At 38.2% G+C, this 16350-nt stretch overlaps 1 protein-coding gene across 12 annotated transcripts in view, besides 3 other annotated features; it reads right to left on the bottom strand.

The window, feature by feature from the left end:
* Positions 1 to 16350, bottom strand: part of ADGRV1 (adhesion G protein-coupled receptor V1) — a 605641-nt gene that overhangs the window by 232467 nt on the left and 356824 nt on the right. The gene's annotated exons all lie outside the window — the stretch shown is intronic.
* Positions 1983 to 2535: an enhancer, noted in NCBI's record as "NANOG-H3K27ac-H3K4me1 hESC enhancer chr5:90225253-90225805 (GRCh37/hg19 assembly coordinates)". NCBI's record gives its function as "activates a minimal SCP1, AML or CMV promoter by ChIP-STARR-seq in primed H9 embryonic stem cells {active_cell/tissue: H9 hESC(primed)}" and the evidence as "EXISTENCE:reporter gene assay evidence [ECO:0000049][PMID:30033119]".
* Positions 14824 to 14968: an enhancer, noted in NCBI's record as "145 bp 5:90212892 sequence used in MPRA reporter constructs". NCBI's record gives its function as "activates a minimal TATA-containing promoter with rs28368305 allelic activity by MPRAs in C283T melanocytes and UACC903 melanoma cells {active_cell/tissue: C283T | UACC903}" and the evidence as "EXISTENCE:reporter gene assay evidence [ECO:0000049][PMID:36423637]".
* Position 14896: a transcriptional cis regulatory region, noted in NCBI's record as "rs28368305 or 5:90212892 MPRA-significant variant associated with a GWAS melanoma risk locus at 5q14.3". NCBI's record gives its function as "allelic transcriptional activity by MPRAs in C283T melanocytes and UACC903 melanoma cells {active_cell/tissue: C283T | UACC903}" and the evidence as "EXISTENCE:reporter gene assay evidence [ECO:0000049][PMID:36423637]".

Here is a 16350-nt window from a genome sequence, read left to right as displayed (position 1 = left end):
GCTTATCTTTGCTGTTTCAACTTTGTGCCTCTGCTCTTATGGACCATTCATTTTATGTCCACTAAATATTCAATTAAGTTTTCAGATTTTAGGGGCTTAAATTTATTTAAGCAGCAAGGAACATCAATTTTTCTCTAAGCCAATATACGGTAAAGGATTTTCAAGTATATGCCTGTCCAGAAAGAGTGATTTCATTTCTTTTCATCAATTAGGAAACATGCGTAATTATAGACTAACAAGTAGGAATTAACCATTATTAAAATATTTCTTTTAAGAAATTGTGTTGTCAATTTTAATAAAATGTTTGTTGAATTATGCTGTTTTCCATACTTCAACATAATCACATATAAAATTTGGCACATAAGCAAAATGATTTTTTTCTTACAATTTGTGATTTTTAAAAATATGCTGACTTCCAGGTAGAATTATATTACTTCAAGAAAAGCAAACATTTTACCTAGTGAAATTTGTCAATTTGGGCATCACTAGGAGAACTGAACTAAGAAAAGGAATTTGATTTATAGAAACTATTTGAATGTATCTAGCTCCATAAGTGAGCTAGCTTCATTAAGTGAGCTGGATACATTCTTGGATAAGTGACTAACTTTTTGGAAAACTCATCCCTTCCACATCACCCCTTTGCCCTAAATCTTCACTGTATAAACTTGTTTGATATCTGGCCCTTGATGACTTAGCTCTTGTTTACCAGTCCAGCCTCATCCCCCATGACTTCTCAAATTTGCATTACCCACCAGTCATCTTAAACTGCTGTTTCATTCTCTTTCTCCATCCATACACGACATTCTGTCGGATCTGCCTGCTTTTACCAGTGCTGCTTGCTTTGCCAGGACACACTTCCAGCAAGTACCTCCTTCTCCCTCCTCTCTCTCTTCACCTATAAAAAAATCTACAAATCTTTCAGCTTTGGTGTCATCTATTCCGAGTCACCTTGGGATGAACAAAGTGGCCCCTTCTCTGAGGTCTCATGGCACAAGTTCAGAAGTTTTCTTATCACTGATGCAACATACTAAAATATTCTGGTTAGGTTTCTCCTTCAAAGTTAGGCAGTAGTAATCCCAGATGGCCCAGAGGGGACCCTCTGCAAGTGTTTAATGAATTGGATATTCTATATTATGCAGGCTCTCATATTGTGAGAGATATTTCATTAAAACCTAGGTAAAATTATTGTTACCGAACATGAAACCACAATATTTCCTCATGTAAGTTATTTACAGTAGTGCAAGACCAAGTTGATTAGGGCAGTAAAAATTATCAGGTAAGCAAAGGAGGATTATAGTTTCTGCTTGAAAATTTGGACTCACGTAAATTTAGAAATAACTCTCTAGTATTTAAAAATTAAAATTTTGGCTAACACTAATATTTGGTCCTTTTTTCTTTGGTTAAAAAAGACACATAAATACTCAGACACAAAATGATACTGTTTCATTGACAAGAATTCATACATTGAATACCAAGTTATAAAAGTCCATGTACAAAACCACCCAGGCAATAAAAGTATTACCATTTGGTCGTTATGAATTTTAGATTATGTAGGAATGTTCTTGGCCAATTAAGTCTATAATAAAAATACGTATTTTTTTTAAGTTGGCATTCTCATTCACTATTTCTGTTTGTTTCTTATTTGGAGTTTGCCGGAAGGACTCATGATATGCCTCTGGCAACGTATTCATTTTGTTAGACCAGGACTGAAAGTAAATATTGGCATCGATGTTTCTAATAAGAAAGTAGAACATCTGACTCTATCACTCAGGAGGCTGTTGCAGCAAAATCACAGCATAATCTGTCCTTAAAATAGTACTGTTAAGAAATGTATTTTTTTTACCAAAGATTTGCTAGACAAATCATATATTTTTTAAAAAGAAACAACAAAAAGAAGATGTTTAGTGGTCAGGCCATTAAAATGGAAAGCCAACACCCATGGCTAAAATTAATGCCTATTTTAAATATAGACTGGCCTTTTAAAATTCATCTGCTATAAAACAGAATATGGATAAAAAACTAAACTAAAATACAAGCAGAAATGGAAACTTTTCTTAAAAATGATTTCTTAATGTTTCTGTAGGATACAGTCATTTACTTTCCTTAACGTTGTACAGAAAAAAAGAAACATATCTACATATTAGTCAACAACTTAAAGGTAGTCAATGCAGTATAATCCATACTGTACCAACTAATATGATCAAAAGCTATTTAAAGAAAATGTGCCTAATCATTAATAGTAACATAAAAAGAATAGCACTGAAAACAACTTTTAATCTGAGATGTTGTCAGCACTTAGAACAAATAACCTGGGGGGAGGAGCCAATATGGCCGAATAGGAACAGCTCCGGTCTACAGCTCCCAGCCTGAGTGACGCAGAAGCCAGGTGATTTCTGCATTTCCATCTGAGGTACCGGGTTCATCTCACTAGGGAGTGCCAGACAGTGGGCGCAGGTCAGTGGGTGCGCGCACCGTGCGCGAGCCGAAGCAGGGCGAGGCATTGCCTCACTTGGGAAGCGCAAGGGGTCAGGGAGTTCCCTTTCCAAGTCAAAGAAAGGGGTGACGGACGCACCTGGAAAATCGGGCCACTCCCACCCGAATACTGCGCTTTTCCGACCGGCTTAAAACACGACGCACCACAAGATTATATCCCGCACCTGGCTCGGAGGGTCCTACACCCATGGAGTCTCGCTGATTGCTAGCACAGCAGTCTGAGATCAACCTGCAAGGCGGCAGCGAGGCTGGGGGAGGGGCGCCCGCCATTGCCCAGGCTTGCTGAGGTAAACAAAGCAGCCTGGAAGCTCAAACTGGGTGGAGCCCACCACAGCTCAAGGAGGCCTGCCTGCCTCTGTAGGCTCCACCTCTGGGGGCAGGGCACAGACAAACAAAAAGACAGCAGTAACCTCTGCAGACTTAAATGTCCCTGTCTGACAGCTTTGAAGAGAGCAGTGGTTCTCCCAGCACGCAGCTGGAGATCTGAGAACGGGCAGACTGCCTCCTCAAGTGGGTCCCTGACCCCTGACCCCCGAGCAGCCTAACTGGGAGGCACCCCCCAGCAGGGGCACACTGACACCTCACACGGCAGGCTATTCCAACAGACCTGCAGCTGAGGGTCCTGTCTGTTAGAAGGAAAACTAACAAACAGAAAGGACATCCACACCAAAAACCCATCTGTACATCACTATTATCAAAGACCAAAAGTAGATAAAAACACAAAGATGGGGAAAAAACAGAACAGAAAAACGGGAAACTCTAAAAAGCAGAGCGCCTCTCCTCCTCCAAAGGAACGCAGTTCCTCACCAGCAACGGAACAAAGCTGGATGGAGAATGACTTTCACGAGCTGAGAGAAGAAGGCTTCAGACGATCAAATTACTCTGAGCTACGGGAGGACATTCAAACCAAAGGCAAAGAAGTTGAAAACTTTGAAAAAAATTTAGAAGAATGTATAACTAGAATAAGCAATACAGGGAACTGCTTAAAGGAGCTGATGGAGCTGAAAACCAAGGCTCGAGAACTACGTGAAGAATGCAGAAGCCTCAGGAGCCGATGCGATCAACTGGAAGAAAGGGTATCAGCAATGGAAGATGAAATGAATGAAATGAAGTGAGAAGGAAAGTTTAGAGAAAAAAGAATAAAAAGAAACGAGCAAAGCCTCCAAGAAATATGAGACTATGTGAAAAGACCAAATCTACGTCTGATTGGTGTACCTGAAAGTGATGGGGAGAATGGAACCAAGGTGGAAAACACTCTGCAGGATATTATCCAGGAGAACTTCCCCAATCTAGCAAGGCAGGCCAACGTTCAGATTCAGGAAATACAGAGAATGCCACAAAGATACTCCTCGAGAAGAGCAACTTCAAGACACATAATTATCAGATTCACCAAAGTTGAAATGAAGGAAAAAATGTTAAGGGCAGCCAGAGAGAAAGGTCGGGTTACCCTCAAAGGGAAGCCCATCAGACTAACAGCAGATCTCCTGGCAGAAACCCTACAAGCCAGGAGAGAGTGGGGGCCAATATTCAACATTCTTAAAGAAAAGAATTTTCAACCCAGAATTTCATATCCAGCCAAACTACGCTTCATAAGTGAAGGAGAAATAAAATACTTTACAGAAAAGCAAATGCTGAGAGATTTTATCACCACCAGGCCTGCCCTAAAAGAGCTCCTGAAGGAAGCGCTAAACATGGAAAGGAACAACCAGTACCAGCCACTGCAAAATCAAGCCAAAATGTAAAGACCATCAAGACTAGGAAGAAACTGCATCAACTAACGAGCAAAATCACCCCTAACATCATAATGACAGGATCAAATTCACACATAACAACATTAACTTTAAATGTAAATGGACTAAATGCTCCAATTAAAAGGCACAGACTGGCAAATTGGATAGAGTCAGGACCCATCAGTGTGCTGTATTCAGGAAACGCATCTCACGTGCAGAGACACATATAGGCTCAAAATAAAAGGATGGAGGAAGATCTACTAAGCAAATGGACAACAAAAAAAGGCAGGGGTTGCAATACTAGTCTCTGATAAAACAGACTTTAAACCAACAAAGATCAAAAGAGACAAAGAATGCCATTACATAATGGTAAAGGGATCAATTCAACAACAAGAGCTAACTATCCTAAATATATATGCACCCAATACAGGAGCACCCAGATTCATAAAGCAAGTCCTGAGTGACCTACAAAGAGACTTAGACTCCCACACATTAATAATGGGAGACTTTAACACCCCACTGTCAACATTAAACAGATCAACGAGACAGAAAGTCAACAAGGATACCCAGGAATTGAACTCAGCTCTGCACCAAGCGGACCTAATAGACATCTACAGAACTCTCCACCCCAAATCAACAGAATATACATTTTTTTCAGCACCACACCACACCTATTCCAAAATTGACCACATACTTGGAAGTAAAGCTCTCCTCAGCAAATGTAAAAGAACAGAGATTATAACAAACTATCTCTCAGACCACAGTGCAATCAAACTAGAACTCAGGATTAGGAATCTCACTCACAACCGCTCAACTACATGGAAACTGAACAACCTGCTCCTGAATGACTACTGGGTACATAACGAAATGAAGGAAGAAATAAAGATGTTCTTTGAAACCAATGAGAACAAAGACACAACATACCAGAATCTCTGGGACGCATTCAAAGCAGTGTGTAGAGGGAAATTTATAGCACTAAATGCCCACAAGAGAAAGCAGGAAAGATCCAAAATTGACACCCTAACATCACAATTAAAAGAACTAGAAAAGCAAGAGCAAACACATTCAAAAGCTAGCAGAAGGCTAGAAATAACTAAAATCAGAGCAGAACTGAAGGAAACAGAGACACAAAAAACCCTTCAAAAAATTAATGAATCCAGGAGCTGGTTTTTTGAAAGGATCAACAAAATTGATAGACCGCTAGCAAGACTAATAAAGAAAAAAAAGAGAGAAGAATCAAATAGACACAATAAAAAATGATAAAGGGGATATCACCACCGATCCCACAGAAATACAAACTACCATCAGAGAATACTACAAACACCTCTACGCAAATAAACTAGAAAATCTAGAAGAAATGGATAAATTCCTCGACACATACACTCTCCCAAGACTAAACTAGGAAGAAGTTGAATCTCTGAATAGACCAATAACAGGAGCTGAAATTGTGGCAATAATCAATAGTTTACCAACCAAAAAGAGTCCAGGACCAGATGGATTCACAGACGAATTCTACCAGAGGTACAAGGAGGAAGTGGTACCATTCCTTCTGAAACTATTCCAATCAATACAAAAAGAGGGAATCCTCCCTAACTCATTTTATGAGGCCAGCATCATTCTGATACCAAAGCCGGGCAGAGACACAACCAAAAAAGAGAATTTTAGACCAATATCCTTGATGAACATTGATGCAAAAATCCTCAATAAAATACTGGCAAAACGAATCCAGCAGCACATCAAAAAGCTTATCCACCATGATCAAGTGGGCTTCATCCCTGGGATGCAAGGCTGGTTCAATATACGCAAATCAATAAATGTAATCCAGCATATAAACAGAGCCCAAGACAAAAACCACATGATTATCTCAATAGATGCAGAAAAAGCCTTTGACAAAATTCAACAACCCTTCATGCTAAAAACTCTCAATAAATTAGGTATTGACGGGACGTATTTCAAAATAATAAGAGCTATCTATGACAAACCCACAGCCAATATCATACTGAATGGGCAAAAACTGGAAGCATTCCCTTTGAAAACTGGCGTAAGACAGGGATGCCCTCTCTCACCACTCCTATTCAACATAGTGTTGGAAGTTCTGGCCAGGGCAATTAGGCAGGAGAAGGAAATAAAGGGTATTCAGTTAGGAAAAGAGGAAGTCAAATTGTCCCTGTTTGCAGACGACATGACTGTATATCTAGAAAACCCCACTGTCTCAGCCCAAAATCTCCTTAAGCTGATAAGCAACTTCAGCAAACTCTCAGGATACAAAATCAATGTACAAAAATCACAAGCACTCTTATACACCAATAATAGACAAACAGAGAGCCAAATCATGAGTGAACTCCCATTCACAATTGCTTCAAAGAGAATAAAATACCTAGGAATCCAACTTACAAGGGATGTGAAGGACCTCTTCAAGGAGAACTACAAACCACTGCTCAAGGAAATAAAAGAGGATACAAACAAATGGAAGAACATTCCATGCTCATGGGTAGGAAGAATCAATATCGTGAAAATGGCCATACTGCCCAAGGTAACTTACAGATTCAATGCCATCCCCATCAAGCTACCAATGACTTTCTTCACAGAATTGGAAAAAACTACTTTAAAGTTAGTATGGAACCAAAAAAGAGCCCGCATCGCCAAGGCAATCCTAAGCCAAAAGAAAAAGCTGGAGGCATCACACTACCTGACTTCAAACTATACCACAAGGCTACAGTAACCAAAACAGCATGGTACTGGTACCAAAACAGAGATATAGATCAATGGAACAGAACAGAGCCCTCAGAAATAACGCCACATATCTACAACTATCTATCCTTGACAAACCTGAGAAAAACAAGCAATGGGGAAAGGATTCCCTATTTAATAAATGGTGCTGGGAAAACTGGCTAGCCATATGTAGAAAGCTGAAACTGGATCCCTTCCTTACACCTTATACAAAAATCAATTCAAGACGGATTAAAGACTTAAACGTTAGACCTAAAACCATAAAAACCCTAGAAGAAAACCTAGGCATTACCATTCAGGACACAGGCATGGGCAAGGACTTCATGTCCAAAACACCAAAAGCAATGGCAACAAAAGACAAAATTGACAAATGGGATCTAATTAAACTAAAGAGCTTCTGCACAGCAAAAGAAACTACCATCAGAGTGAACAGGCAACCTACAAAATGGGAGAAAATTTTCACAACCTACTCATCTGACAAAGGGCTAATATCCAGAATCTACAATGAACTCAAAACAAATTTACAAGAAAAAAAAAAACAACCCCCTCAAAAAGTGGGCGAAGGACATGAACAGACACTTCTCAAAAGAAGACATTTATGCAGCCAAAACACACATGAAAAAATGTTCGTCATCACTGGCCATCAGAGAAATGCAAATCAAAACCACAATGAGATACCATCTCACACCAGTTAGAATGGCAATCATTAAAAAGTCAGGAAACAACAGGTGCTGGAGAGGATGTGGAGAAATAGGAACACTTTTACACTGTTGGTGGGACTGTAAACTAGTTCAACCATTGTGGAAGTCAGTGTGATGATTCCTCAGGGATCTAGAACTAGAAATACCATTTGACCCAGCCATCCCATTACTGGGTATATACCCAAAGGACTGTAAATCATGCAGCTATAAAGACACATGCACACGTATGTTTATTGCGGCATTATTCACAATAGCAAAGACTTGGAACCAACCCAAATGTCCAACAATGATAGACTGGATTAAGAAAATGTGGCACATATACACCATGGAATACTATGCAGCCATAAAAAATGAGGAGTTCATGTCCTTTGTAGGGACATGGATGAAATTGGAAATCATCATTCTTAGTAAACTATCGCAAGAACAAAAAACCAAACACTGCATATTCTCACTCATAGCTGGGAACTGAACAATGAGATCACATGGACACAGGAAGGGGAATATCACACTCTGGGGACTGTGGTGGGGTGGGGGGCAGGGGGAGGGATAGCACTGGGAGATATAACTAATGCTAGATGACGATTTAGTGGGTGCAGCGCACCAGCATGGCACATGTATACATATGTAACTAACCTGCACGATGTGCACATGTACCCTAAAACTTAAAGTATAATAATAAAAAAAAAGAACAAATAACCTAAGGCAAGATTGGGACTGTTCTATATTGCAGCTTGCAACACTGACTGTATTGTTTTGTTTGATTTTTTTCTTCTACAAGAGTCTGAGGTGTGTGAGCCCCAGGTCAATGCAGCAAGCTGTTTTATGTATATATCCTAGTAAATATTTAAATTTCAGAGTTATATTTTAGTATATATTTAAATTTTATATATTTAAACACTTACATACTTTTTAAAAAACAATTTCTTTTAAATTGATTTCAAAGAAAATTTCTAAATTGTGTGGATTTTATAGTACATATTAAAAATTAGAGGCAATTTCTAACTTTAAAAATATATATTATCCTTTATATACATTAGGCTAGCCCTTACTATAATATTTGTTTATGAAAATATCCTTTTAGCTAATGGTTCCTTTAGCAGCATAATGAAAAATTATAATCATAAACTGCAATAAATCCTATCCAAATTATGTGATGCATGCACATTCATGTAATGCTCACAAGTTTCAAAGGATATGGTTTAGAAGGTGCAAAAATGCTTCTATTTCTCATAGAAATAAATAATTTGGTGGGTTTAGTGCTGAAAACACCCAAATTCTAAGCATAACTTCTTATAGGACCATTAGATAAGACAAAATACAAATCAAGTCCCTCAGTATAAATTTAGCAGGAGCCACTATGTAGCAGATACTCTGTGGAAGGTTTTGAGGGCTCCACATTGAACAAGATACAGTTTCTGCATGAGAAACTTAAGGCCTACAGGAGACCATGCATCAAGAACCAACTGTCATTAATATGATGAATGCTATTTCTAAAGCCTGAGGACCAGCCGTACCAGATCGTATGGGAACTAGTTACAAATGCAGATGCTAATTCAGTAGGTCAGGTTGGGTCCAGCATTCTGCATTTCTAACAAACTTCCAAGTGAGGCTGGTGCCACTGGTCTGCAGACCACATTCTGAGTAGCAAGGTTTATATAGATGATAACACCGGGAAAGCAGCAATGAGCTCTGCTTTGGTTAGTTGTAAGGTTATCTAGGAAAGCTACTGATAGGAGGTGACCACTGTAGAGGAAGAAGGGAAAAATAGCTTTCCAGACACAGGAGACTCCGAAAATAAAGACATAAAGCTATGAAAATACACGACATAGTAAGTGACAGTGAGCCGGCAAATGTGTTCAAAGTATAGAATATAGGGAATGAGTGAAAAGCCAGAGAAACAACCTAAGGCCACGTTGTAAGTATTCTATATACCTGTCACATGTCATATAGTTTATCCCATAAAAATTTCAGAGGCCACAGAGAGATACTGGACTTCTTAAAATTTTCCTGAAGGGCAACAACAAAACACCAATATTTTAGAAAGATAACTGACATTAACATAGGAGATGGATTGGAAGAAGAAAATATAATCAGTCAAAAGACTATTTGGAATAGTTTAAGCAAGCGATGTTGACACCATACAGTGTGGCAGTGAAACGAGGTAAAGAAGGAAAGGCCCTGGAAGACATTTATGAACCTATGTGTGGCACAGATACGGGACTGTCCACCAAAGTCTATCCTCCAATACTGATAGAGTTAGGGCGAGGGGGTGGCTACCCACTTAGGTGCTGTTTTTCTTAGACCCCTTGCAACCAGTAGAGTGTGAATAGAAGTGATTGAACAACTTAGGCCCTGCTTATGAGTCAGTTTTTGACCCCGGACTTGCACTGTCCTCTCTCCCACAGGCTGGAAGGATGACCTCGGAAGTCACATGCTGAAGATGGAAGACATGTTGTAGTGCTGCATTGACCTGGGGCTCAGACATCTCAGACTCTTGTAGAAAAAAAAAAAAAAAAAAAACAAGACACAACTTTATTGGGTTTGGTCTTACTTATTATACATATATGCATTACTACATTAATATATCTTGTTCCAGCAGCTTAGTTTTTACTTTTAGCCTCTAGAGGATTTAGTGATTTAAGTAGCCATGAAGGGTAAAGAACACCAGGGATTTCACAATGACTAAATTTAACAGCACAGATGGCAGGGTTGATAGTGTGCCATTATTTGAGTTAAAGAAAAAGCAAAAGAAATTGCAGCTCTGGGGAGATGATAATAAACTCACATTTTGAAGGATGAAGTTTATGTTACTTGTGGGATATCCTGTTGGAGATATTCAGTAGGTTTTTAGACAGTCCTGGATCTGAGAAAAATATGAAAGGTTTATAGAAGCCAGATGCGGCAGGGAATACATAGGGAGAGGTTGTGCAGCTAGAAGAGAAGGCAGTCAATTACAAGACCCCCAGAAACCAAAAGCAATAAATAAATAAATAAGGAAGACTGTCATAAAAACAATGTTGAATGATGAAACAAAAAACAAAAAATAGGTGCTAAAAAACACACCCATTCACACAGTGTGATATTATTTAAAGAAAAGTTAAAATATACCAAAATATGACATGACACATTATGTACAGGTACATACTATGTAGCAAAAGAATATTTAAAATGCATGTGATTGTAAACATGCAAGTTTGGATAATGGTTACACTTTCATTTGGGCATGAAGGAACATACAATCTGGGAGGAACACATAGGGAACTTGAAATTTGTTGATAGTGTTTTATTTATTAAAATGGAAGCAGGTACAGAAGTGCTCACTTTTTACATAGTTCACATGATTTGATAACAAAATTTAAACCTAAAATGCAGAAAAGAAAGAGAGTTTTACAAAGTAGGATGCAGTTAACAATAACAAAGGAAGATGAGAAATAGAAAATGACAATTGAATTTGACAGCCAGTAGTTAATTAATGACATTTAGAAGAGGAATTTTAGTAAGTACAGGGGAACTGAGTTAGATTTTTAAAAAATGGAATGTGTAAAATTCCACATTTACATTCTAAACATTACACTATTTTTGTTGTGCTATTCACTCTAGGAAATTGCCTTATAATGAGGAGAAATAAATAAATTTTACATTCTGTAGTAATTAGAGGAAAAGATACTAATGAGATGATAACTGCTCTAATTCATCTAATAAAATATTTTTGATTGGGTTAGTTTATTATAGGAATCAGCTATAAAATATTAATCATTTCTCACTAGTATATTAGAAATAACTCTTAAATCTGTTAAAGGTACATAAATTCTAGTGGGCACCTGAATGTAAAATAATGAAAAGTAAAAAGACTCTGAAGAGAAATTTTTTTTTAAATTTAGGAAGCCAGTAAACCATTTTCAAAAGAGTATTTGTTATGTTCTAATATTTGCGTCTCCCCGAATTCATATGTTGAAACTCTAACCCGTAAGGCGATGGCATTAGGAGCCTTTGGGAAGTTATTAGGTCATGAGGGTTCCTCTTGCATGAATAGGATTCCTGCCCTTATAAAAATGGCCCAAGAGAGCTCGCTGGCCCTTTCAGCCACATAAGGACACAGTGAAAAAACGTTTATAAACCAGGAAGTGGGCCCTCACCAGACACTGAACCTGTTGGCACTTTGATTTAGAACTTCCCAGTCTCCAGAGCTGTGAGAAATAAATGTTGGTTGTTTATAAGCCACACAGCCCATGGTAATTTGTTATAGCAGCCTGAACAGGCTAAGACAGTTATGTAAATATTACTCTTCCAAAATATTTTTCTTTTTTTTTTTTTTTTTTTTTGAGATGGAGTTTCACTCTTGTTGCCCAGGTTGGAGTGCAATGGCACGATCTTGGCTCATCACAACCTCCACCTCCTGGGTCCAAGCGATTCTCCTGCCTCAGCCTCCCGAGTAGCTGGGATTACAGCCATGTGCCACCATGCCCAGCTAATTTTGCATTTTTAGTAGAGATGGGGTTTCTCCATACTGGTCAGGCTGGTCTCGAACTCCTGACCTCAGGTGATCCGCCCACCTCGGCCTCCCAAAGTGCTGGGATTACAGGTGTGAGCCACCACGCCCAGCCCAAAATATTTTTCCTTTCTATTCTAGTAGTACATACATTTAATGAGTTCTCAAGCAATTATCTGTATTTCCATTAATGAAACGACACTCAAAGCTTAAACTAAAACTTACCTGAATCACAAATACATTTAATAATTATAGTACATTTTAGCAAGAAAAGAGATCACTTTGAGGAACAACTTTAATTTCTCAAAGTCCAGTTGTTATTTTTTATCTCAGTTATAGTCATAATCACTATAAGACCCAGAAAAATAAAGTGAACAAATTAGAAGGTGTAAAAACAGAATTTTATATGTATCAACTACACCTCCCAATATTACTTTCTCTTATCAACATCATTTTGAAGTCTCCAATCCTATCTAAATACCATCTGTCTAGTAATCAGAAAACATTGCTTTTATGATCGGGCAAGGCTTTCTCTTTCATCCATTGTTTGGGAATATATAGATGCTGCTGAGAAGTATATATGAGATAGGAACAGTAGATTTGGGCTAAAAGGAAATAATTACATGAGTTCTATGCTCCTTTACGATTCTGTGGTTCTTGATCTGGGTGACAGGAAGGAAGCTAATAGCAGCTGGAAAATATTAAAAACTAGAAAAAGAAGTTTGGATTTGATATCTGAGGATGCATGTAATTTGAAATGTTTTATGTATTGCCAGAAAACCAGAGGATGATCTTTAGCAGGCAAATTAAAACAAAGCTTTTAGAGAAATGTAACTCAAAATGTATGAGATGCATCAGGCAGGGTAGGGCAGGGTTATGTTCTATGGCCAGATTGATTAGGTCTCTGGGTTATGCACACTGTGAATTCCTAAACCAAGGACAGACACAATTAAAGGAGGAATTGAGAAAGACCCCTATGGCTGGTGTAAATTTCTTCCACTAAGAGGTAAAGAGAGGGAGGCCTTGGTTGTAGTAACATAAGAAGTGGAAATATAAAATAATGGTTTAAATAATCATTGTGGAGTAAATATACATGGGAGGAAGAAAGCCTATCATATGCAAGACATTGCATAACATGTTTATATATAGATATCTCATTTAATCTCCATAACAACCCTGGAAACTTATTATTATTTACAGTGTAAAGACAAGAAAGCTGAGGCACACAGACATTAAGAAACTTAGTATCCAAAGTTATAAAAATACTAACTAATGGGGCTGGAATTCAAGCTCAGATATATGTACATTCAAATTCTATAATTGTTCCACTAATCTTTGCTATCTACCTCTCACACCGAACTTGGTGACTCATGGATGTAGAAGATGCAAGAGATAAAATCGCTGAAAATAGCCCGAACATTGAAACCTAATAATGTGATTCTTAATAAAACAGATCTGGCCACTGGGAAATAGATGTTTGGATCATTTCTCTCCGGATCTGGGCTTTCACTTAGTCTAGTAGATGTGGTCCGTCATAAAACCATTGCAGGCTTCCTGAAAGTCAAATTAGGCTTTCTGTGGGGTCACTAAAACCAGAGCTGGTCCCAAACATTGGGACTACTTCCTACAAGATTTAGCACCTGCCACAGCCACCAGATTGGACTGATCCAGCACTCTAAACTGATCTGAACTGTGAAAGCCAAACAGCCTTAGCAAGTCTATTCAGATCGTAGGATCTAATATGCCTCAGTCAAATTCCAGTTTCTGCTCTTGCTAGTTGTGTAACCTTGAATTAGGTATTCATCCTTTTGCAGCTCATTCTCATTTGAAAAATGAAATAGTGAAATATATCTGCCTAAGAGCTACTACCAATAAAGACTAAATAAAATAAGACAGATAAAGTACCCAGCATAATGAGCACTTTACAAATGCTTCTTTAAAAAAAATGATAGTGGTGATGATGATGAAGATGATGATGGTACAAATGACAGAGGAAGAGGGAGAGGAAGAGGAGAAAGAGAACAATAAAAACTCAGATTCTCTAAGCATCTGGATTTCTTGGTATTTGTGACAAAGCCTGCTTTCTGCTTGGTAGCACGCTTTCTGTAGTCAAGGGATAATAAACAATACAAAATGAGACTCTAGCTGGTTTATTCTTTTAAGGAAAGAAGTTGGTTCTCTCAATAATAGAGCTTATCTCTCAATTATACAGGAAACTGACTTCCTCAGGAGTTTGGCAGATTCAGAGCTTGATATAAGCTTGAAGAATGTGAAGCAGGTTACACCTGTTGATTTTGTTTTGATTCACTGAAGTTTTGTTTGCTTATTTTGAGTATTCCCACTGCTAGCACATGGTTGGCACAAGCTGTAGTAGTTAATTTTTATCCATTCTTGATGGTTGTAGGTAATTTATATCTTTAAAGTTTTTATTGGTAATGACTTAAAAAGTCACTTAAATTAGAATAACCTACTTGGATCTAGTTGTAGGCACATCACTGTATACATCTCTCTACTTCCAGGGAACTACCAATGGCTCCATTTATAAACATAGCTATTTGTGGCATTTTCCCCTTCTTTTCATTTTTGGAGTCCTGAAAACAATGAAGATTTAAAATGAGTTTAGTAATCGATAATTCCCAATTCCAGGAAAGTTGTGGTGAAACAAGCACTCATTGCTGATAGTATTGTGATTGCTACATCCCTTATGAAAGCAATGTGGCAACTACAAACAGCAAGGTTTGTTCATTCTTTTCGATATGGTCTGGAAATGATTCAACAGAGAAATCAAATGATACTGCACCATTGTTTTCTACTAACTTACAATGAAATATTCAATATTATATGAATAATTTAATAAATTGAGATACACAAATATACATTCTAATTAAAAATTTGTGGCAGGGCGCGGTGGCTCACGCCTGTAATCCCAGCACTTTGGGAGGCCGAGGCGGGCGGATCACGAGGTCAGGAGATCGAGACCATCCTGGCTAAAACGGTGAAACCCCGTCTCTACTAAAAATACAAAAAATTAGCCGGGCGTAGTGGCGGGCGCCTGTAGTCCCAGCTACTCGGGAGGCTGAGGCAGGAGAATGGCGTGAACCCGGGAGGCGGAGCTTGCAGTGAGCCGAGATCCCGCCACTGCACTCCAGCCTGGGCGACAGAGCGAGACTCCGTCTCAAAAAAAAAAAAAAAAAAATTTGTGAACGCTGAAGAAACAAGGAAAATATTCCCTATAAAATTAAGTGAAATAGAATATGTAAATTGAATATCGAATAATATGTACACTGTGGATGAAACTATATAAAACATTGCTTCTTTACCTGGGGTGCACATGAAATCACCAGCAGAGCTCCTAAAAATTCAATGCCTGGGCCTCATCAAAAAGGAGGCCTAATCAATTGATCTAGAATTGTCCCCCAGTATTAGTGGTGAATTTGTTGAAAATTTAAATTTCTTTTAGATTTATAAAACATTGTAATGATGTTACCAATTAAAAAATATCTTCATATATTTAAATGTTAAGTCAGTTATTAAATTGTCATTTAAAATGAAATGAAAAATTATTATATTAAATCCATGTTTTAAAAAATTGCCATTGCCTTATTAAATATAATCCTGCTTCTAAACAACTCACTGGGATGGGATTCTTGAAAAAAAAAAATCCATAAAAACATAATTAAGGCTAGGTTGCCCCTAGACTGAATACTCAGTGAGAGGCCAATGACATCTTGCATCCAAATATCCCCTCCTTCCTATCTCTCCAATTCCCTAAGCCCTGGTGCTAGTTCACACTCAAAAACCTCTTAGAAATGCTACAGAAAGGCCAACATTCTCTGCCCATACCCTTCTAAACCAAAACCTGCCACCTTAAATATAAGGGGATCAAAAACTTTCAAGGGCTTGAAAGTATGAACAAATAAATTATGTTAGGTATGGCCAAACGCCTTACCATTAGAGTCTCAGTGTTTATACACATAAATCATGAAATGCTAAACTGTTAAATATGTGCATTTTTACAGTTAAAATCAACTAATCTACCCCTTTGAAGTAATTAATCTTAGTACTTTGTTTAATGATGAAGCGTGCCAACTTAGCATGATCAGCACCCACGGGGGCTGGGGGAGGGTCTTCCCATCATAGGTCAGCCAGCAGCACCCCCTTGGTAGCATGCATTGATCACAGTGGCTAATTTTAGAACTTGATGTGT

This window comes from Homo sapiens, chromosome 5, assembly GCF_000001405.40.
Source record: "Homo sapiens chromosome 5, GRCh38.p14 Primary Assembly".
NCBI lineage: Eukaryota > Metazoa > Chordata > Mammalia > Primates > Hominidae > Homo > Homo sapiens.
Note: the sequence above shows the minus strand (reverse complement) of the source record. Positions and strands in the feature narration are given on the sequence as shown.